This window comes from Homo sapiens, chromosome 19, assembly GCF_000001405.40.
Source record: "Homo sapiens chromosome 19, GRCh38.p14 Primary Assembly".
NCBI lineage: Eukaryota > Metazoa > Chordata > Mammalia > Primates > Hominidae > Homo > Homo sapiens.
In genome coordinates, this window is record NC_000019.10 from 34296159 (window position 1) to 34323461 (window position 27303).

Genomic DNA, 27303 nt, shown 5'->3' on the forward strand with positions numbered 1-27303 from the left:
TTTTTCTTGCGTCAGTTTGTTTGTACAAATAGCACAGGAGGATCCCCGCCCCATGCAGACGGCAGCCCGAGGGGGTCGCAGCAGTCCTTCTGTTCTCACATTTGTAGACAGAGATATCTACTCTGAAGCCTTTGTAGGGGCCTGGGCACCTTTGGGAGCTTGAGCTGGAACTGAAGCTGGAGCTGCAGTCTGGGCGCTGATTTGATCCTTGGCCTTGGCCTTTAGCCGGCACAGCCTGAGTCCCTTGGCAGTGCGGGCACGAGCACACTTCCCAAGCTTGGGGTGGGCAATGTAGGCAAGTCGATCGAGCTTGTGGCTGACACCCTTTGGGATCTTGGGCTTAACCTCCTTGGGCTTTACGAGGGCCTTGATAGCCTCGGCACGTGCACTCATGGCCTTGGCATTGTTGGCCTGCATCTTCTTGAGGCCCTTCTTGTGCTTCTTGGCAAAGTGCATGTTCCTCAGGAACCTGGGGTCCATCCACTTAAGAGATTTGTATCTTTGTGATCGGGGTTTCTTGATAGCATTTCTGTGCCATTTTCGGGACTGGTTGTGTGTGGTATGGTTCTTGGACTTGGCCCTGTCTGTACCTTAAGCCGCAGCTCCCGAAGCACCTAGAACTGGAACCCTCACATTTTTATATGATTTTAGGGCTTTGTTTTATTTTTGGGGACAGAGTCTTGCAGTGTTGCCCAGGCTGCTCTTAGACTCCTGGGCTCAAGTGATGTTCTCACCTTGGCCACCTCTAAGTACCTAGGACAGCAGGCATGCACTACCACTCCTGGCTTCCAAATGAATTTTGGGGTCAGCTTGCCCATTTCTGTAGAAAAGGTAATTGAAATTTTGAGGCCGGCATGGTGGCTCACGCCTGTAATTCCAGCACTTTGGGAGGCCGAGGTGGGTGGATCACTTGAGGCCAGGAGTTTGAGACCGGCCTGGCCAATATGGCGAAACCTCATCTCTACTAAAAATACAAAAAATTAGCCAGGCACTGTGACGCGCACCTGTAATCCCAGCTACTTGGGAGGCTGAGGCAGGAGAATCACTTGAACTCTGGAGGTGGAGGTTGCAGTGAGCTGAGATTGTGCCACTGCACTCCAGACTGGGCGACAGAGCACAACTCTGTCTCAAAAAAAAAAATATTTTGATAAAAATTGTGTTGAATCTGTAGATGAATTTGGTGAAATAGTATAACTTTAAGCATTATAAGTTTCATTTAGAGAAAGTTTGGAAGTATGTAAAGTGAAAAAGAGTTTAATGTTTGTGGTTTTTTAATTAGGTAAGCATATAGGTCTCACTTGGTCTTCCAGATCTGTCAAAGGAATGGGGGCAGGCTCTCCTAGAGCCAGAGGCAGCCGCGGTAGAGGAACTAGGAAGCTGGTGCACCACTGAACAAAGATAGAGTGTTTCTCAGGGCTGCATAAGACACTCACTGTGGCCAACTCAGGTGAAGGTTTTCCTTCAGAGGCCACAGAGTCTCCACGGGAACAGCCTGCCCCGCTTCAGCATTCCTGTAGAGTGCTTCTGTTGTATATCAGAATCTATAAATTGTGGAGCACTCGGGTGGGGATAGATGTGATTGCCTTATTTGTCATGAATTTGAAAAAAGAAAACATTTTGGAACACATTTTTTACAAGTAGCCATTTGATATTTGTTTCTTGAAAAGTTTATGAGATTTTTTTTAAAGAGCTCAAATTTTGTTGAACATAGAGCCATAAATAATGGTTGTTTTATTGACTTTATATGTTATGTGTTTGTATCCACAGTGTCCTTCTCATCTCTTGCCTTTGTAACCTACCTAATTCCTGTGTTGCCAACACAATCATAGAAATACAAAGGAATTATGGTAATTGGCCATAAGTGACGAAGTATGAGTTACATTTAATTATATATTCAAAAAAGGAAAATAGAAAACCTGGTTATCAATAAGTAGACGAAACTATATACCACCATTACATAGGTTGCAGTTGAATATGTGGTCAAGCACGGTGGCTCATGCCTGTAATCTCAGCATTTTGGGCTGAGGCGGGAGGATCACTTGAGCTCAGGAGTTTGAGACCAGCCTGGGCAACATGGCGAAACCTCGTCTCTACAAAAAATACAAAAATTAACCAAGCATGGTGGTACATCTGTAGTCCCAGCTGCTCCGGAGACTGAGGCAGGAGGATTGCTTGGGCCTAGGAGTTCGAGGCTGTAGTAAGCCAAGGTCATGCCACTGCACTCTAGCCTGGGTAACACAGTGAGACTCTGTCTCAAAAAAAAAAAAAAGTTGGCCAGGCGCAGTGGCTCAGGCCTGTAATCCCAGCACTTTGGGAGGCCGAGACGGGTGGATCACCTGAGGTCAGGAGTTCGAGACCAGCCTGGCCAGCATGGTGAAACCCCATCTCTACTAAAAGTACAAAAATTAGCCAGGCATGGTGGGCGCTTGTAATCCCAGCTACTCAGGAGGCTGAGGCAGGAGAATCACTGGAACCTGGGAGGCGGAGGTTGTGGTGAGCTGAGACCACGCCACTGCACTCCAGCCTGGGCAACAGCAAGACTCCATCTCAAAAAAAATAATAATAATAAGTTAAATATGTGGTAAATGTGACTTTCAGTGAAACGTATTTGAACTTTTGTTTGGGAGAGCAGATGGTTTCAAGCAAATGTTATTCCTGATTTTAGCTTTATGAGAAGAGTCACAGTATTCCGCTGTTGTAGGTATCAGAAACTACAACCAGCGATATCCAGATTCTGCTATTTGAACCTATCCAGAGTCAGGGGTTCTAAGAAGCCACCCAAGGTGTGAAACTGGTATACCTTGCCAGGCTCCCGCTCTGCACACCCAGAGGGAAACTGGTACCGGAGTGAGGATTGGAAGAATCGTGTCTGTAAACCGCCTGCCAGCCACTCCCTTCTCCAGGCTCTGTTTCTGCACCCTGCACTTAAGCCCAGCTTGGTATCCGACTGTCCCGTCCTACTTTGGGACCTTTGCCGTGGTGGTCCTTTACCTTGTGAGTCCCACCTGTCCCTTTTGCACTTGTCCAAACCTATCCTACAATCAAGGCCTACCTCAGAAGAATATTTTTTTCGTAACAACCTTTTTGATTTCCCTTGCCCTTTGCCCATCTCTGCCTTTGCTGATGCCCCATAAAGTTTATGAGTGCTGTGTGTGTCAACAGCCCTCACCATAATCTGAGTACTCATGTGATCCTCCTGAAGCTTGTGAGCTCTTCAAAGAGGAAAGGAGAAAATGCTGAACGTGGATCCAGGCCCTGTTCAACGTGCCAGCCTCAGCTTTGAAGGGGCCAGTCTAGAATCATACTTTTTTGGTTGCATTGTTTTTGTATTACTACTTGAGGAATTTTCTAACAGTCATCATTTCATAGTTCAGTGCTCACTATTGTACCTGCTCCTCTAAGGTTATAATATGATTTCTTATTCATTTGTAGCCCACCTGTGTGGATAATAGCATCACAGGAGTTATTGTCCAGAATTACTGTAGCCTTCCTCACTTTATCTTATTTTTCCCCCCGACAGGAAAGGACTTAGAAGCCTTACAAATACATCTGTGCATTCTTGCTTCAGACTTTACAACTGAGGGCCAGCCCAGTCTGGAAGCATCTCTTATTAATGTTACAAGGAAACCGCTACCTCAGCAAACAAAAGGAATGGAGGAGGAGACTTACAACAAACGCCATTTAAAAAAAAAAGAAAAACTTGTTTTCAGGAAACATTAGAGGAAATTTGGAGAATTTCAGCATTGCATAGAAGCAGCCTTACAGGTAAACGGATTTGACGGGCAGGCTCTGTCAAAATTCTGCAGAAGTTTGATCTTCCTTCTTAAGGACTTTGTGTGAAGTAATTCTTTACTGCTTTTAAATTGCTGTTGATCAGCTTCTGGGTTTTTGGGTTCTAACTTTTTTGGGTATATTGAAGACACAGTGTATTACATTATATTACATTTTTAAACGTTAAGTTATTTTTCTGCCATTGTAAATACAAGTATCAAAATATTCTTGCAAAGAAGTAAACATTTTTCTCAGCAAGCATATCCTTTTAGTAAGAGAGTGGAATGCTAAACAGTTCTTATCCAGCATTTTGGACATCTTTTATTTTTTGTCAGAGATCCTGTCTACACTGAAAATATTAATTATATAAACCTGTTGTCTCTCACCTCTACATTGGATCACATGGTCACCTGCCTCATGGAAATGCCTTTTTTAAAACTTCGATTTGCAGAACTCCACTATTTTTATACCTAGCTACAGTTTTGAGAAAGAAGAATCAGAACCCTGACCCACTTACGGTTGCTGGGACAATTCCCCCTCCCGCATGTATTGCTGCAGTGCCCAGGACAGTAAAATGGACTACAAGCGGCGCTTCCTGCTTGGCGGGTCCAAGCAGAAGGTGCAGCAGCACCAGCAATACCCGATGCCTGAGCTGGGCCGAGCACTGAGTGCTCCCCTGGCATCCACGGCCACCACTGCCCCCCTGGGCAGTCTGACCGCTGCAGGCAGCTGCCACCATGCCATGCCCCACACTACTCCTATCGCCGACATCCAGCAGGGCATCTCCAAGTATCTGGATGCCCTGAACGTCTTCTGCCGTGCCAGTACTTTCCTCACAGATCTCTTCAGCACTGTGTTCAGGAACTCTCACTACTCAAAGGCAGCCACACAGCTCAAAGATGTGCAGGAGCATGTCATGGAAGCAGCCAGTCGGCTGACCTCGGCCATAAAGCCTGAGATCGCCAAGATGCTAATGGAACTTAGTGCTGGGGCTGCAAATTTTACGGATCAGAAGGAATTCAGTCTCCAGGACATTGAGGTAGAGTATCTTTTGTGTCATACTTGTGTAGGAAAATATACTACAAAGGTAAGTGAGAATATTGTCTTAAGTTTTTTTCCAAATCACTGTAATAGTAGCCTTTGTCCTCTTGCTGTTGGTACTCTGTCTTTGTAAAAAATGTGTGCGTGCCAGGTTCTGAATTGCTTTCATATCAAATTCAGTAGGTTAAGGGTAGGTGTGGTGGCTGTAACCCCAGCACTTTGGGAGGCCAAGGCGGGAAGATCGCTTGAGCTCAGGAGTTTGAGGCATCATAGTGAGACCTTGTCTCTACAAAAACTAAAAAAATTAATTAGCTGGGTGTGGTGGTGTGCACCTGTTGGATAGATTTTAAAAATTACTTTTAGCTGTTCAGAGAGTTAATCTGGCATTAGTTTTTCCATCCTTCTACATCCAGAAGCCCTGACTACTCCAGAAGCCCAGAAGCTGAGGTGGGAGGATTGCTTGAGCCCAGGAGTTTGAGGCTGCAGTGAGCCGTGATTGCACTGCTGTACTCCAGCCTGGACGGCAGAGTGAGACCATGTCTCAAAAAAAAAAAAAAAAAAAAAAAAAGAAAAATTATTAAACAAACCAGCCAATATTTTATATTGTTGTCTTTCAAATTTTCAAGTCAGAACCTAATTTTCAAATACCGTACTGGTAAAAGTTATTAGTGAGTACTGAGAATTCTAAATACGATTATGAGCTTTATTTGTGGATTTTTTTTTTTTTTTTGAGACGGAGTCCTGCTCCGTCGCCCAGGCTGGAGTGCGGTGGCACGATCTCGGCTCACTGCAAGGTCCGCCTCCTGGGTTCATGCCATTCTCCTGCCTCAGCCTCCCTAGTAGCTGGGACTACAGGCACCCGCCACCTCACCCGGCTAATTTTTTCGTATTTTTAGTAGAGATGGGGTTTCACCATGTTAGCCAGGATGGTCTCGATCTCCTGACCTTGTGATCTGCCCGCCTTGGTCTCCCAAAGTGTTGGGATTACAGGTGTGAGCCACTGCGCCCAGCCTTTTTTTTTTTTTTTTTTTTTTTTTTTAAGTCAGTTTCGCTCTTGTTGCCCAGGCTGGAGTGCAATAGTGCAATCTTGGCTCACTGCAACCTCCACCTCCCGAGTTCAAGTGATTCTTCTGCCTCAGCCTCCTGAGTAGCTGGGATTACAGGCATGCGCCACCATGCCCGGCTAATTTTGTATTTTTAGTAGAGACGGGGTTTCACCATGTTGGTCAGACTAGGGTCTCAAACTCGCAACTTCAGGTGATCCGCCCGCCTCAGCCTCCCAAAGTGCTGGGATTACAGGCAGGAGCCACCGCGCCCAGCCGTTTTTTTTTTTTTTTTTTTTGAGACGGAGTCTCACTCTGTCACACAAGCTGGAGTGTAGTGGCACGATCTCAGCTTACTGCAACATCGCCTCCCAGGTTCAAGCAATTCTCTGCCTCAGCCTCCCGAGTAGCTGGGATTACAGGCGCCCACCACCACACCCGGCTAACTTTTTGTATTTTTAGTAGAGACAGGGTTTCACCATCTTGGCCAGGCCGGTCTCGAACTCCTAACCTCAAGTGATCCACCTGCCTCAGCGTCCCAAAGTGTTGGGATTACAGGTGTGAGCCACCCTGCCTGTCCTGTGGATTTTTATTATATTGAATCTTTGGTTTTTAGAGAGTCCCACACGTTTATAGAATAATTTTTCCAATTCTAAATTCACAGTTGCTAATATTCAGATGTATTTGAGTCTTCTTCAGTACATTTCTTGGGGTCTTTGATAGTTTTTTTTTTTTTTTTTTTTTTTTAAAAGACAGAGTCTCTCTCTGTCGCCCAAGCTGAAGTGCAGTGGCACTATCTCGGCTCACTGCAACCTCTGCCTCCTGGGTTCTAGCAGTTCTCCTGCCTCAGCCTCCTGAGTAGCTGGGACTACAGGCTCACGCAGCCATACCCAGCTAATTTTTTGTATTTTAGTAGAGATGGGTTTTCACCGTGTTGCCCAGGCTGGTGTCAAACTCCTGAGCTTAGGCAATCCACCCACCTCATCCTTCCAAAGTGCTAGGATTACAGGTGTGAGCCACCACACCCAGCCTCTTTGATAGTTAAAATGAAATATTATTCTTTTAGGGCTCTAGATTACAATGTAAGATTAGAATACAAGTTTCATTCAAAGTAAAGATGACCTTTTTTCTTGTCTTATTTTAGGAAATGATTTATTCAACTTTGATCTCTTATATTCGTTTGATAGATTTTAAAAATTACTTTTAGCTGTTCAGAGAGTTAATCTGACATTAGTTTTTCCATCCTTCTACATCCAGGTGAAGTTCTTGGATATGAGATCCTAGGAAGGAGAATGTTCCTTACCCCATCCTGGGGTTAAGATCACCAGTCTTTTGGGTCGGATCTGATTATTTAGGTGCCTGAATAAGCTAACTAACACTGCTTTGGGTTAACCAAAAAAAGAACTTGACTTTTAAGTAACACAACTAATTTTTACTGTGTTTAAAAGTGATTTTGAAGGAATTTCCAAGAAGAACTTAGAGTTATTTCTTAAGAGACACAGCATCATTGGTATAAATCAGGGTTTATCAAGCTTTTTCTATGAAGGGCAGACAGAAATTTTAGGCTTCATGGACCACATGTGGTCTCTCTCACATATTCTTTGTTTTTGTTTTTGTTTTGAGACGAAGTTTCATCTTGTAGCCCAGGCTGGAGTGCAATGGCGTGATCTCGGCTCACTGCAGCCTCCGCTGCCCGGGTTCAAGCAATTCTCTTGCCTCAGCCTCCCGAGTAGGTAGGATTACAGGCGCCCACCACCATGTCTGGCTAATTTTTGTATTTTTAGTAGAGATAGGGTTTCACCGTGTGGGTCAGGCTGGTCTCAAACTCCTGACCTCAAGTGAGCCACCCACCTCAGACTCCCAAAGTGCTGGGATTTACAGGTGTAAGCCACCGCTCCCGGCCTTGTTTTTATTTTTATTTTTTACAATCCTTTAAAAATGTAAAAGTCAGCTTTACTTTGTGGGCCCATCTATTCTATGGATGGGGTTTGGCCGATGGGTTCTAGTTTGCTGCACCTGCTGGTATAAGTGTATAGTCACTTCCTTGGGTCAGGGTCATTCTACTTTGGATCTATCTTTGTAATTTTTTTTTTTTTTTAGACAGAGTCTTGCTCTGTTGCCCAGGCTGGAGTGCATTGGCGATCTCAGCTCACTGCAACCTCTGCCTCCTGGGTTGAAGCAATTCTTATGTCTCAGCCTCCCAAGTAGCTGGGATTACAGGCATGTGCCAACACACCCAGCAAATTTTTGTATTTTTAGTAGAGACAGGGTTTCGCCATGTTGGCCAGGCTGGTCTCAAACTCATGGCCTCAAAATGCTGGGATCACAGGCGTGGGCCACCGTGCTCGGCCATCTTTGTAATTTTTTTTTTTTTTTTTTTGAGACGGAGTCTTGCTCTGTTGCCCGGGCTAGAGTGCAGTGGCGTGGTCTTGGCTCACAGCAGCCTCTGTCTCCTGGGTTAAAGCGATTCTTGTGCCTCAGCCTCCCAAGTAGCTGGGACTGCAGGCACGTGCCACCACACCTGGCTAATTTTTTTTGTATTTTTAGTAGAGACGGGTTTCACCATGTTGACTAGGCTGGTCTCAAACTCCTGACCTCAAGTGATCCACCTACCTCGGCCTTCCAAAGTGTTGGAATTACAGAGGTTAGCCACCACGCCCAGCCATCTTTGTAATTTCTAATTGTTTCTATGATCATATTTTATACCCAGGGATACTGTCATTTTAAAGTGTGTATAAAATGGCTTGTCATAATTTTATTTTTATTTTTATTTTTTATTTATTTATTTATTTTTTTGAGACAGAGTCTTGCTCTGTCGCCCAGGCTGGAGTGCAGTGGCGTGATCTCGGCTCACTGCAAGCTCTGCCTCCCAGGTTCACGCTGTTCTCCTGCCTCAGCCTCCCGAGTAGCTTGGACTGCAGGCGCCCGCCACCACGCCCGGCTAATTTTTTTGTATTTTTAGTAGAAACGGGGTTTCACCATGTTAACCAGGATGGTCTTGATCTCCTGACCTCGGGATCCGCCCGTCTCGGCCTCCCAAAGTGCTGGGATTACAGGCGTGAGCCACCGTGCCCGGCGGGCTTGTCATAATTTTGTTTAAAAATTCAACACATAAAAAAGCATGCCTTTACTTCTCAAAAGAAACGTAAGCAGTGAAACTTCTACTTTCCTTTAGCACCTCATTCCTTTCCCCAGAAGTGACCATTAGTAACTGGTTGTTGTATGCCATTCCAGACTACCGTCTGTACATGCATGGATATGTACAGATGTGTGCAGCTTTGACTTTTACATAAAGAACCACGTTGTTCATCCACCATTGTGCCTGGTCACTGCTTGATAGAGATATGGCAAGACAATAGTTAGGAACACTTTGTCCTCTCCTAGAAAGTGTTGAACAATCTTAGACTCTGACAGCTGTCACCCCATGATGACATAGCGCTCTTAGCTTTATTCAGGACTTCAGGCAAGAGTGGTTTGAAATATAAGGCCAAAGGCTTTTATTTTAACCTGAGCATTACTGAGCTCTTCTTCAGGACATGCTTGCAGGTATTGGAGGAAACAGAGCTTGACCTGCAGGGCCCTTTGCTTTCCAACCCTGGAGGGCAAGTGCGCCTGTTGCCCAGGGCAGGACAATTAGAGAAGATAACCAGCTGTGAGCAGTAGGGGCTTGGTAAGCCGCTGGGGCACAGCAGTACCTGCTTTGTTTCTTCTGCTTTCCTGGGACTGGCATTGACCACTGAAGCTGAGAACGGGAAATACTTATTGTTGTAGTTTGGAATTTTGACTTGGCTTTCCACATTGAAATGCTGATTAGATAGTTGGAATACTACCATGTTTTTTTGTACATAATGGGCTGAACAGGCTTTCCCAGACGAGTCTGGAAACTAAGTATTTGGTGGGTTTTCCAATTTATGCGTCTATTCTGAGTTTCAAACAGCTGACTTACAAGTGAATTTCTAAATGTGATTGCCAAGCATAGGCCCGCAGACTTCACGTTTCACTTTTTCCCCAGAGCAATATTTGTTGTTTCTGGAATTTATGTACTGCCAGGGGATTTAGCCATAGGCCAATAAGGGTCTCTCTCAGAATTTTCAGCAACTCAGATGAAATGGCTAGGCATTTGGATTTTTTCCTTTTGGTTTTTTAAGGATTTTTATAAGCAAGGCCCTGAGAGTCACTTTGACATTCATCCCTGGGGAAAGAGGTCTGTGGCCTAACATTGCCAGGCAAGGCCTCTACTCAGGAGCTCAGTCCAGGACTGTGGGTGAGAAAAGCTCTGGATTCGAGAGTATTCAAATATTTGACCATTTAAGAGTTAGGACAAAGGATGATCCTGTCCCCTTGCCATGTGGCCAGTGCATGTGTGCAGTGTTCCCAGGTGCTTCTGACTTACAGCCAAGTTTGGGCTGTGGTTATTGATTGACAGATACTGATGCCTTTGTCCAGGAATGGTGGTTGCTGACTGTGTGCTCTGCCACCCTGCCTTGGAACCAGCAGGGCATATGTGAGTCCTGTCCAGTCTATACTCACCAGTGACTTTGCCCCTTAGCCCGAGTGGTTCACCCTCACAGTCTCTCTGTTAGAGAAGTGAGTTGTGACTATGGGGTTTCACTAGCTGACTAGTGCCTGTGACACTGGTACATCAGCCTAGGAAGTCAGTTACTGGGCACAGAGTCAGAAGACCTGGGTTTGGAAGGTGACATCTATCACTTAAATAAAATTACTTTTTCAGTGGAAGTGTACATAAATAAAAGAATCAAAGTGACTTGTGATTTGTGCATTCATTCCACAGATATTTATTGTATGCCTTGTTTCTGCCTGATACTACTCCAGCATGTCGATTGCAGTAGTGAACATGACAGAAATCTCTCCCTTCATGTAGCTAGAAGGGAGTTTCGATCTTAGAGAAGGTAGTTAGAAAAGGTACCACTGAGAAGGTGACATTCGAGTAAAGGCCTGAAAGGGATGAGAGAGCAAGCCTGTTGGCCCAGAAAAGAGGATTCCAGGCGGAGGGAGCGCCGAGCACAGAGTCCCAGAGGCAGGAGCCAGCCTGGAGTGTTGGAAGAGCAGGAAAGAACCTGCTGTGGCTAAAACAGAGTGAATGGAAGGGAGAGAAGCAGGGGTGAGGTCAGAAGGGTAAAGAGGGGCCACTCTGGTGTCTGTTCTGAGTAGCCAGGTAGGAGGCAAGGTGAGGTACACCTCTGAAGGGCAGGGGATGGGAGGGCAGCAGGCTGGGCCCTGCCATTCTTTTGTAGTGAGCAGCGATGCCACTTCTCCCCTTGCCTTCTTCATACTGGGTAGCTCCAGGGCTCTGGTTTTACGTTGGGTCCTCAGTGTTGAGAGGTGTTGGTCCTCTATGTAGGCAGTCCAGGAACCCAGGGCAGCCATGGGGCTCCCAGGAGTTGTATGTCTCTAAGGAGACTGTATTTTATAAATTCCAGCATTTTTATTGACTTTTCAAGTATTTACCATCTTGTGAATAAGCAGCCAGACTTATATGTATATATACGTATTATATATATATATGCCAGACATATATATAAAATATGTATTTTTTATATATGTATGTATATATATACACATACGCACACACATACATATATATACTTATATATACATATATACTTATATATACATACTTATATATACATATATACTTATATATACATATATACTTATATATACATATATACTTATATATATACTATATATACATATATACTTATATATACTATATATACATATATAGTATATATATACTATAAAATATATATACTATAAAAAAAAAATATATATATATATTTTTTTTTTTTTTTAGAGATTAGGCCTTGCCATATTGCCCAGGCTAGCCTCGAACTCTTGGGCTCAAGCAGTCCTCCAGCCTCAGCTTCCCGCGTATCTGAGACTGCGTAGCTGAGACTACAAGTATGTATCACTGGGCCTGGCTCTCAAATCTTTACACAGTTGCATCTTGGCTTTCAGTTTGACACAACAACAAATTTCTTTTGTATACTATGTGATTACCTGTGAATATGTTTGAAATAATTTATCTGTGAGTGCTGACTGACTCTTAATTAAGGACCTTAATTCAGGTATATTAACATTTATTTTGGATAGATATATACCAGAAATATTGTAGAGTAACAATAATGGAAAATATTAGAAGCTGGTTTCAAAAATACGATTTGCATTAACCTTAATGGAATTGAATGTGCATCCTGTTCCTTTTTTTTTTTTTTTTTTTTTTGCCCTAAAGGTAAAAGTAAGTGTTACTTGTTTTGACTGGTAGATCTTCTGTAACAGATTATGGAGTAAATATTTCCTAATGGTATGTGCCAGATGAAAGTTCATATTGCTGCTGCTAATCAGAAACTGAAGTTCACCTCATAAAAAGCTTGTATGAATCCAGTTTTGAAACTTGCTAATTTCAGGTCAGTGTTTTTGGCTTACTTTTTTGCTGAGGTGAATCTGCTATTACCTAAATTGTCTTCAGACTTTAGCCTGTAGAGGAAGCTGTACTTAATTAAGCAGCTGGAATTTGGGTGATTCTGTAAATTTGCATTGTGGTCAACAAACATGATTTACCATCTGTCTAGCCCATTCTACGTGGGTGGAAGCCACCAAGGCCATTGGGCATCTGTCACTGTGGAGGGACTGGACCCTTTGACTTTGATTTGTCAAGACAAGCATGTGCAACCAACTCATTATTCTGATAAATGCTAATTAAAAGGAGAAAAGTAAGGAAATAAGCAAATTTCCTGCTTTTCCAGTAGAAACTGTTTTTCATGGTAACCAAATAGCCCTAATGGATGAGAGAAAAATCTCCACTTTGCAGACTGTGATCAATTCGGTGACTCAACCAGTGGCCAACAGTGGAGGATGAAACCATTTGTTGGAAGGTTGCTGAGGAACCGCATTTGGGAGAATCAGGCCTTCCGCACCCAAATCTCATTGATCAGCCTTAGTGTCATGGAAATGGAGACAGGTCATCACGTCTCCTGATGTGCTGCAGCAAGAACCGCACAACACATCTAATATTAATAATATTCTACTTCTCCCTCTTTAAAAAAAAAAACAAACCCTGAAATAATCTAATCAAGCTTCTAAAATGAATCCAGTCTACAGGAAATGTGGGGTGTAGTGACGCAAGTTATGCAATACCACGAGAAGGCAACCAGACAAATTCACAATGTGGCATATCCTGTAATAAGTTGACCTGATTTGTTCAACAAGTCAGTAGCATTAAAAGAAATTACACAGAATGTACTGTTCTAGATTAAAAGAGTTAAGCAATATAACAACCAAATAAAATTACCTTTTTGGGGTTGAGGTTCAAACCAAATGTAAAACATAATTTTTAAAAGATAAGTTGGGAAGCTTGAACACATACTGAGTCTTGGTTGATTGGGATTTACTTCAAAAAAAGAAAAAAGATGGGGAAGGATAGATGGTAAAAGCATGGCAAAATGTTAATGGAATTGAAACTTTTAATTTTTTTGTAGAGACAGGATCTTGCTGTGTTGCCCAGGCTGTGAGCCCAGGTCTCAAACTCCTGGGCTCAAGTGATCCTCCCACCTCAGCCTCCCACAACACGGGGATTATAGGCTTGAACCACTGTGCCTGGCCATAGGATTGAAGTGTTTTGATGGGTACATGGGGGCTTGTTATGTTCTGCTTTTGTGTACGTTTGGACCTTTTCCAAGTTTGCAAAAAGTGAGAGAGAAATTCAGGAATGTATTAAAGACGTAATATATCAGAGTACCCAATAAATAACTCCATTTCATGGAGGGCTTTTCGCATGTGAAGTGGTCTTCTAACAGAAAGGGGAGCATTATTGAGTAGTTAGAAAACCCAAGGTGTAGGGATGAAGAGAAAAGCAGGTGTTCTTCAAAAAAAATGAAGAGAGTAAAAGTGAATCAAAGGAGAAAATGGGAACAGAGAAAAGACCGTCTCTGAAAGTGGGAGGCCAGCAGCAGGTGGGAGTCAAGGAAAGAATGAAATGTTGCTAATTTTGGGGACTAGTGATTGAATGGCAATGTTGCTGTCTTTTTAGAGAGTAGGATTTAAAATTTTGAGTTGCTGAAAAGGCTTGCGTGATGTGCTAGAAAAATTAGGTTTGGTGGGCAGATTAGAAGGAAACAAATAGGAGAGTTCATGGAATATAATTTCAGATAGAACTGGCTTTCCTGAATTAATTTTTTGGTTCTAGTCAGCTTAGGAGATCTCACAGGATTGGATAATGGCCTGTTCTGGCAGCCTCCCTCCTCTTTACAAACCAGGAACCTGAGCACCCATAAAACAGCATTTGCCTGAAGTCCTTCTGAGGCCAGCCCATGTATGGGTTATGTGTCCTATGTGTCTGCTGCCTCCCCACTGCCTCGGGCCAGTGCAGTCTAGTGCAGAGGGGCTTGTTGGCAGAGGCCATCCCCCTGTGAGAACAGGCTGTCTTGCCCCTCTGCTAATGGTGAAATGTCCAGAGCCAGGAAATCAGAAATAGCGTGATGTAGAGGCACCCCTGAGCACCCTTGCTCGCACTAGGGCCCCTCCTGAGTAGGCCCAGCCACCTGGCCTGCCTTCCTCTTCTCCCAGCTGAGCCACCCACCCTCCTCGATAAATACACATGAGCTAGCTGCAAGCATTGCACAGATGACAAGGACAATAAAAGCACTCCAGGACTGGTAGGCCAGATAAATAAATAGACTGGCACTAGGTGTGATGAGTGCTGTGATGCAGATGGAAAATAGCCTGAAGTCTGTTGATTCGGCAAAACTTTCAACTGCTCCTCTCCCCGCACCCAGCTCACTGTGCCAGGGCCAGCCCTCATACCAGAACCTCCTACCTAACTGAGAGCGCATCTGAGCAGGGGCAGGGCAGAGAGCCCAGTAGGCCCTGGGGAGAGTGAGGAGATACTGGTAGTTGCCTCTGAATATCCAATCTCTTTTTTCTTTTTTCCTTTCTTCTTTCTTTCTTTACCTTCTTTCTGCCCCCGCCCCCCCGCAAGACAGGGTTTCACTTTGTTGCCCAGGGTGGAGTGCAGTGGAACAATCACAGTTCACTGCAGCCTGAACTCCTGGGCTCAAGCAATCCTCCTGTCTCAGCTTCCCAACTATCTGGGTCTACAGGTGCATGCCACCACACCCAGCTAAACTGTATTTTTTTGTAGAGTTGGGGTTCCATTACATTGCCCAAGCTGCCATTTTTTCTTAGTAACAAACTCTCATTTTGTTTTCCATACTGTACCTGGAATAAGGACTACACCTCTTAGTTCCTTAAAGCTGGGAGTGGTCACTTGAATAAGATCTGGTTCATGACGGTGTAACTAGAAGTACTGCATGAGATTAGTGGGATATCTCCTTAAGGGGAAATTGGTGCTCCCTCCTCCTCCAATTTTCTACCGTCTCCAGTGCGTGCAGAATGACTGATGGCCATTTAACCATTTATAATCGTGAAGTCACCTAGAAATAGGAGCCTCGCATGAGTGTGCCGAGCAGAAAGCTAGGAAGTGGGCTCCTTGTGATGCCCTGGCGTCTCCATTCCAACCCTGGTCCATCTGCTCTGGATTTGTTTTACCTTAGAAAAAAATAAACATAATTTTTTTTTCTTTTCCCCCCTCTGAGATGTAGTTTCGCTCTTGTTGTCCAGGCTGGAGTACAGTGGTGCGATCTCGGCTCACTGCAACCTCTGCCTCCTGGGTTTAGGCGACTCTCCTGCCTCAGCCTCCCAAGTAGGTGGGATTACAGGCGTGTGCCACCACACCCAGCTAATTTTTGCATTTTTAGTAGAGATGGGGTTTCACCATGTTGGTCAGGCTGGTCTCAAACTCCTGACCTCAGGTGATCCCCCTGCCCTGGCCTCCCAAAGTGCTGGGATTACAGGCATGAGCCACCACACCCGGCAACATAGTTCTTATTTAAGCCACTGTATTGGTTTTGGGTTTGATTTTTTTTTAATTAAAAATTATTATTATTATTTTTATTTTTACTGTAGAGATGGAGTCTCACTGTGTTGCCCAGGCTGGTCTCAAACTCCTGGGCTTAAGCGATCCTCCTGTCTGGGCCTCCTAAAGTGCTGGGATTACAGGTGTGAGCCACCATGCCTGGCCTGTTTCTGTTTTTGTTTTTGTTTTGTTATATGTAGATAAACCTGATTCTAATTAAGTGGAAGCAGGAAGACTAGTTAAGGGGCTATTAGAGCAGTCTAAATGAGGGATGATAGTAGTTTGGAATAGAAGGGTAGCAGACGTGACTAGAAGTAGTTATGTGTATTTTTACTGTGGTAAAATATATGTAACATAAATTTTGCCATTTTAACCATTGTTAAGTGTTCAGTAGTATTAAGTACACTTACATTGTTGTGCAAGCATCACCATCATCCATCTCTAGAACTTTCTTATCTTCCCAAACTGAAACTCTGTACCTGCTCAACAATAACTCCTGGTTGCCCTCTCCTCCCAGCTCCTGGCAACGAACATTCTTTCTACCTCTATAAATTTGACTACTCTAGGAACCTCGTATAAATGGAATCATAGAATATTTGTCCTTTTGTGACAAGTGTGTTTCACTTAGCATAATGTCTTTAAGGCTCATTCATGTTGTAGCTCGCATCAGAATTTCCTTCTTTTTAAAGGCTGTGGCCGGGCGCGGTGGCTCATGCCTGTAATCCCAGCACTTTGGGAGGCTGAGGTGGGTGGATCACCTGAGGTCACGAGTTTGAGACCAGCCTGGCCAACATGGTGAAACCCCATCTGTAGTAAAAATACAAAAATTAGCTGGGCATGATGGTGAATGCCTGTAGTCCCAGTTACTCAGGAGGCTGAGGCAGGAGAATCGCTTGAACCTGGGAGGCTGAGGTTGCAGTGAGCCAAGATCGTGCCATTGCACTCCAGCCTGAGCAACAAAAGTGAAACTCCGTCTCAGAAAAATAAAAATAAAAATAATAAATAAATAAAGGCTGATAAATATTTTAGCAGTTGTATTTTGCATGGTTTATGACATGCGCACCTGGGTCACTCACTCCCTGGTAGTGCTATTTACTGAGATGGGGAGTAGTGGGGAAGAGTAAGTTCAGATAATAGGTCTGTGATGCCTATTAGATATCCCATGGGTGATTTCTACAGGATAGTTGCATACACAAATCTGGAGTTGAGGGTTGAGGTCCAGAACTTGGAGACCCTCAGTCAGTAGACAGATGTAAAGCTAGAGAACTGAAGGAGGTCATCAAGGAAGAGCGTAGCTGGAGAATGAGTAAACCCTGGGGCACTCCCACATTTACAGTCAGAAGATGAATAGGAAGCCGCCCAGGAGTCTGAAACTGGAACAGCTGGAGAGCTAGGAAGGAAATGAAGCAAGGGTGATGCTGCTGAGGGGAGGTGAGGCCTCCTCTCCACCCCATTCCAAGATTTGCCATGGTTACACCACTTGGAACACTGTGCAGATACAGCCGGCTGGGAGTGTCCCTGTCAGATGGGGATATTGGGATCCCTGTCTCAGTGCGGCAACATGGGAGGCATCTAGTGCGACAGAGCGGCCTCACCCAAGTGATGTGTCATGATGAGGATAATGTTCATGGAGACTGATTTCCATTTGCCAGTTCCCTGTTTGTCTTTGTAATCAGTTTATCAATAGTATTCTTGATGGAAGTGACAAATTTTAACAAAAAGTACACTCATGTGAACAAAAAGAATTTTCTGACCTCTGATGGGCTCTTGAGGCCATATATCAGGATAACTTAAATATGTTTTTATCTCTGCCCACAATGTAAACTTGTTTATGGAGAAAACTTGCATTTTGTTTTTATTTATTTTTTGAAACGGAGTCTCGCTCTTTCTCCCAGGCTGGAGTGCAGTGATGTGATCTTGGCTCACTGCAACCTCTGCCTCCCAGGTTCAAGCAATTCTCCTGCCTCAGCCTCCCGAGTAGTTGGAATCACAGGCATGCACCACCACGCCCGGCTGATTTTTGTATTTTTTGTAGAGACAGGGTTTCACCATGTTGACTAGGCTGGTCTTGAACTCCTGACCTCAAGTGATCCACCCGCCTCAACCTCCCAAAGTGCTGGGATTACAGGCATGAGCCACCGTGCCCGGCCAAAACTTGCATTTTGAATGGGAAAAATTACTCAAGAGTAATTAACGTGGACTCAGTTATCTTGAGTGGCCTTTCATTTTTTCCCTGGATGATATTTTGTAATTATTATTATTAGGTATGCTAAGGTTTATAGCAGTGTAGCTGCTATAAATATAAATATAGAAATGTAAAACTTCCTGTGTGTATTGATATGGTAACAGATTTTTAATATATTTTGGAAAGCAAACTATAAACACACAATCTACTTTTTGCAAAAAAAAATCTATAGGTACAAATATGGGCTGTTTAGTAATCGTACAATCAATGGTTATACCTATTTAGGAATATTTAGAACTATTTGTATGTTTGTATAGCTAATCTTTTCCCCCCTGATTTATTGATGGTGAGTATTACTGATACAAAAAGTTTTGTGCACCACAGTGCTTTGCCCATGAAATATGAGCTCAGAAACTGCCTGTGCTGTTATTTTCACCAGCAGTGAAGCAGCGTGTCTGGGGGCAGAATGTACTCTTGTCTGAATTATTAGCATTTGGTGTTGGTTCTGCCACCCTTGGGCCTGAGCTTGCTTTCTCCCTCGTTTGTTCTAAACATAGCATGGCACCTTTTGTATCCTGTAGGTTATTGCTGACTGCAAGGAGACTTTGTTGTTCTTTAGTTAGTTTTTTACATATTAGTTTCAGTAAGCCTGTTTCTTACATTTTTCTACTGTAGCATAATCTTTGTAAGTACTTTCTATAGCCCAGGCATGGTCTGCTGCATTCTCTGTGTCTCTGGGGATGCATTTAGGTCTTTGTGTCACATTCTGGTGTGTAGCTCATTATGTAATGACTCGAATGATCATCAGAACAAAAGATACCTCATTAAGAACAAGGTTGAGGACACTAGGAACCTAATGTAACATTTAAGGTATAAATGAGTATTGAAGAGAAAGAAATGATTGAATGCTTTGGAATTTCTAATACAAGCACCCATCTTGTACCTACTTACACTGGACTTTTAAAGTGATCGGAAATAAATGGTTGTATGAGAGTTTTACTTGTTCCTCATTCTAAAGGGATATGAAAAAGATGAACTTGAGTTCATGAAGTTGAGCAGAACAATGAACTTAGTGATAAATTATTTGTATTGATGTGAAAATCACACCATGTTTTGGGAAATGGGGTGGACTTGGGCACTCCATAGTTCCAACCACATGCAGGTATTATAGGCTGAGTCAGGCCTGAGCCTAGAAGAGGAATAACTGCAACTAAACTTTGAAATATTCCAGGAAAGCAGAGTTGACATGTAGGTTGATCTGCAACAACTACAGTGGTATAGAAAGGGTGGTCTTGGCTGGGCGCAGTGGCTCACGCCTGTAATCCCAGCACTTTGGGAGGCCAAGGCGGGTGGATCATGAGATCAGGAGATCAAGACCATCCTGGCTAACACGGTGAAACCCTGTCTCTACTAAAAATACAAAAAATTAGCCTGGCGTGGTGGTGGGTGCCTGTAGTCCCAGCTACTTGGGAGGCTGAGGCAGGAGAATGGCATGAACCCGCGAGGCAAAGCTTGCAGTGAGCCAAGATTGTGCCACTGCACTCCAGCCTGGGCAACAGAGCAAGACTCTGTCTCAAAAAAAAAAAAAAAAAAAAAAGGGTAGTTTTTTGGTGCTCCAAATGGGAAGGCCTTAAATTAAAATCTGTTTTACAATCTGAATAAAATATAAATATCATCAAAAAGAAAAGGTATTCTGGTTATGTACATGAATACAACATCCTTAGCAGCAGATGTTGTGTGTGTGCAAGGGAATAGGAAGGTAAAGATGCACCCTTCTCCTCCACCATCAAGGGTTGCTAGAAAACAGGCTCTCATTCAGTAGACCCCGATAGCTGTCTGTAATCCATAGCTCCTTCTCTGATTAGTATTTATCCACTATTGTGGCTTCATTCTGGATCTTGTCATAGGTAGAAAGAGTAGCCTGGTGGTTAGCAACACAGTTTTCGGAGTCAAACAGACCTGGTGTCAGATCCCTACTTATTACCTGCTTGACATTGAGCAAGTTTCTTTATCTCTGTAAACTTCAGTGTTATCATCCGTAAAATGGGTGAATTGCTCACACCCCACAGGGATGGTTCACCAAACATAAGGTGCTTGGTATTTAAACACTCAATAAATGGTAGCTGTTGATAGAGCTTCACTGGCATTTTAAACTTAAAAACCTGCCTTTGGCCACTCTGCTCATCCACTCCCCAGCTTCCCCCATGTGTTCTGCAATTTGACTGAACCACACAGTCCAGGAAACTTTCTCCATGTGAAGGAGAAAATAGCTTTCCACAGCCCTGGGGTCACACTCTCCCAAACTTATGTCAGGAAGACGCCCAAAGACTGGCTCATTCCTGGGTCAAGGAGAGTGGGGTCTGTTTCAGGAGAGGAGCTGAGCTAAGACCTGAGATCCTCGGAGGGGAAAGGTGGGCAGAGGCAGGCTGGAGGTTGAGCTCTGTACTCTCTCAAGAGAAGGTGGTGGTTATGCATCTGTTACTCTGGGTAAATTTTTAGAGCAGATATCTGATGAAACAGCTGTTTCCAAGGTCCAGCGTTAACCATTGGTTTGATTGGCTTTGAATAAGTTATTTACAACACAGATATTTTGTTACAATCATAATTTGTATGACTGAGTTGGTCTCCAGGCATCCTGGGTAGGAGAGGGAGGTGTACAGTAGCTGAGCTGTTGTCCTCATTCCTTATTTATAGGAAAGAAGCTTAGGTTAAATGACTCATCCAAGGTCAAACACATCCTAAGTGGTGGAGACAACACAGACAATGCCTTTTAAACTGACCTGTGTCTCTTCCCCCACTCCTTCCTACAGCAGGGTTCTGCCCTCCTTACTGCCACCCCACAGCAAGAGGGCTTCCTCCACCTCATTCTCCCCAGGGGTGATGGCCTTGTCAGAGAGCATCCTGTTCTTGATCTGGGGGCCCTCCTTCAGGCCTTCAGCCATTCCTCAGAACTTTGCCCCTTAGTAGGGGAGGGGACAGGGTAGCTCTCCCTTTGCCCTCGGTCATTTCCTTGAGGAGCCTTTTCCTTCCCATCCGTCTGTGTTCCTTTCCCAGCAGCACCCGGCCTTGCATATCTGTTCATTGCCTGTTGTCTTCCCCATTAGAATGTCGCCCTGGCGAGAGCAGGGACTTGCTCATTCTCTTTCCAGTAGTGTTCCCAGCTCTTTGTGCTTGGTGCATATCAGGCATCCCCATCTTATATATTTATTGAGAGAATGAATGACTAAGTTGTGTCCATCAGAGCTGTGAGAGTGTGAACCCAGAGCTAATGGAGCATGGCGTCTTCCCTTTTTCCTCCTCCTCCAGCTTCCCATAGCTGCCAAGGTGCTGAGGAAGGAGTGGGAGGAATAGTTTGTGTCCCTGAGGAGCCGGCTCACTCCCCCTCCCTGTGTCTGCAGTGGGTGGGGAGATTGAGGAAACCCTCAGCCTACACCAGTTAAGGTGGAGTTCCTGTCACATGCAAGCCGATGCCAGTTTAGAGTCTGCTGAAGGCAGTGGGGCACACAGGTGAAGGGCATGGACACTTGAGTCAGGTGACTGGTCCACCACATGCAGATTGTGTCCCGTTGACAAAATTTTGTAGCCTTTCTATGCCTTGATCTTGTTGTCTATGAAGGGAGGATGACCTCATAGGGTGGTTCCTGGGATTGAATGCGCTAGCCCATGTGACTCTCCAGCATTGGTCAGGTACAGGCTGTGTGCTCCACTAAAGCTGTCTGTGTGCTCTACAGGACTAAATAGCTGCTGCTTATTCTACTCCTGGCACCTGTCTAACTGGCCTAGGTGCGCTGCCTTCGTGTCCCTCACCCTGCCCAGTCTAGCACAGAGCACTGGGGGAAGGGCTCTGAAGGAGGTGTGAGTGGAAGCCCAGGAGTTTGGGGGGCTTCAGCCTGTGATGTCGGTTGTTGTTCCCTCTGGAGGGCAAGTGCTTTGGTGTGAGATTTGTGTGCGGTTTTTTGTTTGCTTTAGTTTGGTCCTGGTGATTTCCACAGGGTGAGGAGGGATTCGGAGATAATAAGTGTCTTGCTGGGAACTGGCTTGCCCCTGCTTCTCCAAGAAGAAACAGCTCTGACTCTTGGGAACTGAGAGGGCGTGTGGCAAAGGTAGATGCTGAGGCGAGGCAAGGCGAGAGGTCCACATGCGTGCCACAAGGCAGAGAGTCCACGTGTGCACCTGAGGGGAGAGGAAGGTTGAGTCTTACTGTGTGCTGCTCAAGGGACAGGACAGTGCATGGGCACTGTGCTGGATTTTGGTTCCTTGTAAAAAGCAATGGCTATAGTTCCCTGACCTTCACCACTTGCGTGAGGCAGTGGGCTGAGGGCCGGCTGTGAGTAGGCTCTCTCAGGTCCACTCCTGCTCAGCTGGGTGAATTGCAAACTCAATAAAGTAAGTTGTTGTGAATAAGTAATCTGCATAAGCCAAAGAAATATAAAATATCTTCCACAAAAAATTATTAGGGAGCAGGATAAAAGAGCTGCAAAAGGTTTTTGTTGGTATTATTGCCAAATCTGATGTGGGCAAAACAACTATGAGAAATTAGGAAAAAATGTCAATAATCTGGAAGGTTTGTGGTCAAGTTGCTTTGTAAGTGGCCAGTTTTTGCCCTGTGTTAAAGAGGAAATAAGGCCGGGCATGGGAGCTCATGCCTGTAATCCCAGCCCTTTGGGAGGCCGAGGCAGGTGGATCACCTGAGGTCAGGAATTCAAGACCAGCCTGGCCAACATGGTGAAACCCCGTCTCCACTAAAAATACAAAAATTAGCCGGGTGTGATAGTGCACCGAGGTCAGAGAATCGCTTAAACCCAGGATGTGGAGGTTGCAGTGAGCCGAGATCACGCCACTGCACTCCAGCCTGGGTGACAGAGCGAGACTCCATTTCAAAAAAAAAAGATAAATAAGAAATGATAGAGAACACATTGTAACTGTGGTTTATGCAAGAAAGTAACAGGGAGGAGCAGCAAAGGAGCTGTCAGAACAGCCTTAGCCCATACCAGAAGGCTGCCAGAGAAATGCACAATCATATCTGAAAATGTTTGTGGCACATAGTATATATTTAGTATACATCTTATTATAATTACATATTCATGTGTATAGTATTTTTTAAGTTAATTTCCTACTTGGACTATTAGCAACCAATCACTGATATATATCAGGTTAATGGGTTTCTACTGTACTCATGAGTGGAGCTGTCCATTATATTTTCTTGACTCCTGGAAGACTGGTCTGTCAGCTTTGTTTCCTAAGACTGGAATGATGACATACAACTATGTTAATAACTATGTTAACACTCCTACTAAAATAACCGGTATATTTGGATTCCATTTTCAACGGAATGTCTTATGGTCAAACTGGCCTTCTTTCAGATTTTTAGTTGCATGGTTTTTCCTTTACCTTCTGAATACTGTATGGACGTAATTGCTGTTGTGGATGGCTGTGGTTCAGCAGGAGCTCAAAGACACCAGAAGTGGTGTGAGTCCAGATATAGGGGGTGGAGACAGGATTGGGGGTTACTTGGTGGGAAATGGGAAGAATTATTTCAACCTTGGGCCTTGTTATTTGATGGAAATGTTTTGACTTCCAGGCATCAGTCACCGAGGTCCAAACACAAAAACAAAGGCAGATCCTTCTGAAGCATGGTGGCCTTTTAACTTTGTATGATTTTGGATTTCCAGTTAACTATTGCTTCTATTCAAGTTGGTCATTGAAAATTTACTGCGCGAATCCAACAGCAACCCACAACCTAAACATCCCTGGCTGTCTTGTTTTCACAGGTGTTGGGGCGATGTTTCCTGACTGTGGTGCAAGTCCATTTCCAGTTTTTGACTCATGCGTTACAGAAGGTCCAGCCGGTGGCTCACTCTTGCTTTGCTGAGGTCATCGTGCCAGAAAAAAAGAACAGCGGCAGTGGCGGCGGCTTATCTGGCATGGGCCACACACCTGAAGTAGAGGAAGCTGTGCGGTCCTGGCGGGGGGCTGCTGAGGTAACCCTGGCTTTGGGGAGATTGGTGCCTGTGTTCAAATAGGAGAGGCTCCAGAGGGCCTTTGCCTGTTGATTCTCAAAACAGCCATTTCATTTAGAAATGTACATTTTAAACTGTTATCATTGGCTTGTTCATTCATTTAACAGTGAACATCTTTGTGAATGCCCACTTTGTGCCAGGCATGTGCCAGGCACTAGGATGACAACCTCTACTCACAGCCTCCTGGGAGAATAGGCTTACAAAAACAGGGCTAAGGGGCCAGGATGGAGATATGCGGGAGCCAGAGGAAGGGAGGGCCCTGTCTCTGAACGGTAGTGCTGCAGGAAAGCTTCTAAGATGGGGGACCAGTGAGAAGAGGCTGGCACCCAAGTCAGGAAAGACGGGGTGGAGCTGTCTGGGGAGGGTAAGTGGCCAGCCAGGCAGCGAGGCAGGCGAGCAGGAGTGTTTGGCAGACGGATGGGATGACAGGCTCCAAAGATACAACCACAGCAGGGCGAGAGCTCAGTGGACACAGGGAATTTTGTGTTTTTTGTTAGTCAAATCATTCCCTATAGAAGTGCTTGGAATCTTTGTAACTTTTTAAATTCTTTAAGTTTTTCTTTTTCTTTTTCTTTTTTTTTTTTGAGACAGGGTCTTGCTCTGTTGCCCAGGCTGAAGTGCAGTGCTGCGATCAAGTCTCACTACAGCCTGTACCTCCGGGCTCAAGAGATACTCCCACCTCAGCCTCTTCCAAGTAGCTGGGACTACAGGCTCATGCCACCATGTCTAGCTTATTATTATTATTATTACTTTTTTTTTTTTTTTTTTGGTAGAGATGAAGTCTCACTATGTTGTCCAGGTTGGTCTTGAGCTACTGGGCTCAAGCGATCCACCCACCTCTGCCTCCCAAAGTGCTGGGATTACAGGCATTAGCCACTGCACCCAGACAAGATTCTTTTTTTTTTTTTTTTTTTTTTTTGAGACGGAGTCTCGCTCTGTCCCCCAAGCTGGAGTGCAGTGGCGTGATCTCAGCTCACTGCAAGCTCTGCCTCCCAGGTTCACGCCATTCTCCTGCCTCGGCCTCCCGAGTAGCTGGGACTACAGGCGCCCGCCACCAAGCCCGGCTAATTTTTTTTTTTTTTTTTTTTTTTTTTGTATTTTTAGTAGAGACAGGGTTTCATCGTGTTAGCCAGGGTGGTCTCAATCTCTTGACCTCGTGATCTGCCTGCCTTGGCCTCCCAAAGTGCTGGGATTACAGATTTGGACAAGATTCTTAATTGGTCTAACTCTGCCTAGATCCTCATTTGTCAGTGCTTTACATGTGATTTCAGCAGTTCTCCAGTATGCTTTATGTGACTTCATGAAGTTTTTTTTTTTGAGACGGGGTCTCACTCTGTCGCCCAGGCTGGAGTGCAGTGGCACGATCTTGGCTCACTGCAACCTCCGCCTGCCGGGTTCAAACAATTCTCTGCCTCAGCCTCCCAAGTAGCTGGGATTACAGGCGCCCGCCACCATGCCCGGCTAATTTTTGTATTTTAGCCCCAGCTAATTTTTGTATTTTTAGTAGAGGCAGGGTTTCACCGTCTTGGCCAGGCTGGTCTTGAACTCCTGACCTTGTGATCCACCCACCTTGGCCTCTGAAAGTGCTGGGATTACAGGCGTGAGCCACTGCACTGGGCCAACATGAAGTCTTTTATCCCTTGGAAGATCAGCTATTTCCCAGCACAGCAGATATGTTTATAAAATCTAGCCATCATGCAAGAGCTAGACTGAGTGGTTGGCTCCCTAGTGGATAGAGAGCGCAGTGGTGTGGGATGGTATGGCATGGTCATCAGGGATAATGTGAAGGAGAATTGTGGGATTCTCCTCTCGTGGTGACAACCTCATGACTAAATGGTGGGCTGCAGGGAGCCGCTCCGGTGGGGGGATTCTAGCCTAGCGCAGGGTTGCTTTCCTAGTCACTCTGGTGTGGCATTCTCTATTCCTTTTCCACAGCCAGAAGAATTTAAGCTTAAATAAAAGGCAATCAAAAACAGCTCTGAAAAAGTCTGTTTTAAGGAGACTTTGCCTATAATCAGTGACATTTCTTTTGGGAGACAGAGTTTCGCTCTTGTTGCCCAGGATGGAGTATAATGGCGTGATCTTGGCTTACTGCAACCTCTGCCTCCCAGATTCAAGCCATTCTCCTGCCTCAGCCTCCCGAGTAGCTGGGATTACAGGCGCGCACCACGACGCCTGGCTAATTTTTGTATTTTTAGTAGAGATAAGGTTTCACCATGTTGGCCTGACTGGTCTTGAACTCCTGACCTCAGGTGATCCACCTGCCTTGTCCTTCCAAAATGCTGGGATTACAGGTGTGAGCCACCATGCCTGGCCATTAGTGACATTTCTTGTAGGCATTTTAATACTTATTTCTTTCCAGTATGAGAAATAAAAAATAAATCTTAGAAGTTGAGACTTTAGGACTTACTGCTCCATTTTACAGAGTAAAAGATAATTTTCTTTTTTTTGAGACGGAGTCTTGCTCCTTCGCCCAGGCTGGAGTGCAGTGGCGCAATCTCGGCTCACTGTACCCTCTGCCTCCCGGGTTCAAGCAATTCTCCTGCCTCAGCCTCCTCAGTAGCTGGGATTATAGGCACCCGCCACCACGCCCAGCTAATTTTTGTATTTTTAGTAGAGATGGGGTTTCGCCATGTTGGCCAGGATGGTCTCAAACTCCTGACCTCAGGTGATCTACCTGACTCGGCCTCCCAAAGTGCTGGGATTACAGGTGTGAGTCACCCACCTGGGCCAAAAGATAATTTTTTTAAACTATCCCAGCAGGCAAACACAGATTAAAAGATAATTTATGGTTAGCAATATAGTGATTCATTAAATAATGTCTAGTTCAAATCATTCCATAATTAACTTGGCAAAGTATTTCTTTTCTTTTTTTTTTTTTTTTTTTTTTTTTTTGAGGTGGAGTCTCGCTGTTGCCCAGGCTGGAGTGCAGTGGTGCGATGTTGGCTCACTGCAGGCTCCGCCCCCCGGGGTTCACGCCATTCTCCTGCCTCAGCCTCCCGCGTAGCTGGGACTACAGGTGCCTGCCATCTCACCTGGCTAATTTTTTGTATTTTTAGTAGAGACAGGGTTTCACTGTGTTAGCCAGGATGGTCTCGATCTCCTGACCCCGTGGTCTGCCCGCCTCAGCCTCCCAAAGTGCTGGGATTACAGGCGTGAGCCACGGCGCCCGGCCTAGTATTTCATTTTATGTTTTGGAAATTTTCTTTAATAAAATTTTCAAAACATGATTTTTCACATGTTAATATTGTCCAGTCTCTAGTTTTATTATTTCAATTTCATGCCATTTGCTGCATTGTTGTCATT

General features: G+C 44.7%; 1 protein-coding gene and 1 pseudogene across 1 annotated transcript in view, besides 2 other annotated features; one reads left to right on the forward strand and one right to left on the reverse strand.

Moving 5' to 3' along the window:
- Positions 1–27303, forward strand: part of GARRE1 (granule associated Rac and RHOG effector 1) — a 101013-nt gene that overhangs the window by 41605 nt on the left and 32105 nt on the right. Inside the window, exons 2-3 of the mRNA NM_014686.5 lie at positions 3521–4810; positions 23749–23958. Of these exons, the coding sequence (NP_055501.2) occupies positions 4316–4810; positions 23749–23958 (705 nt within the window). The 5' untranslated portion in view covers positions 3521–4315. The remainder of the gene's footprint in view (positions 1–3520; positions 4811–23748; positions 23959–27303) is intronic.
- On the reverse strand, positions 5–626 carry RPL29P33 (ribosomal protein L29 pseudogene 33; annotated as a pseudogene).
- Positions 14332–14831: an enhancer, noted in NCBI's record as "H3K4me1 hESC enhancer chr19:34801395-34801894 (GRCh37/hg19 assembly coordinates)". NCBI's record gives its function as "activates a minimal SCP1, AML or CMV promoter by ChIP-STARR-seq in primed H9 embryonic stem cells {active_cell/tissue: H9 hESC(primed)}" and the evidence as "EXISTENCE:reporter gene assay evidence [ECO:0000049][PMID:30033119]".
- Positions 23626–23920: an enhancer, noted in NCBI's record as "tiled region #14193; K562 Activating non-DNase unmatched - State 8:EnhW". NCBI's record gives its function as "activates a minimal TATA promoter and a strong SV40 promoter by Sharpr-MPRA in K562 cells {active_cell/tissue: K562}" and the evidence as "EXISTENCE:reporter gene assay evidence [ECO:0000049][PMID:27701403]".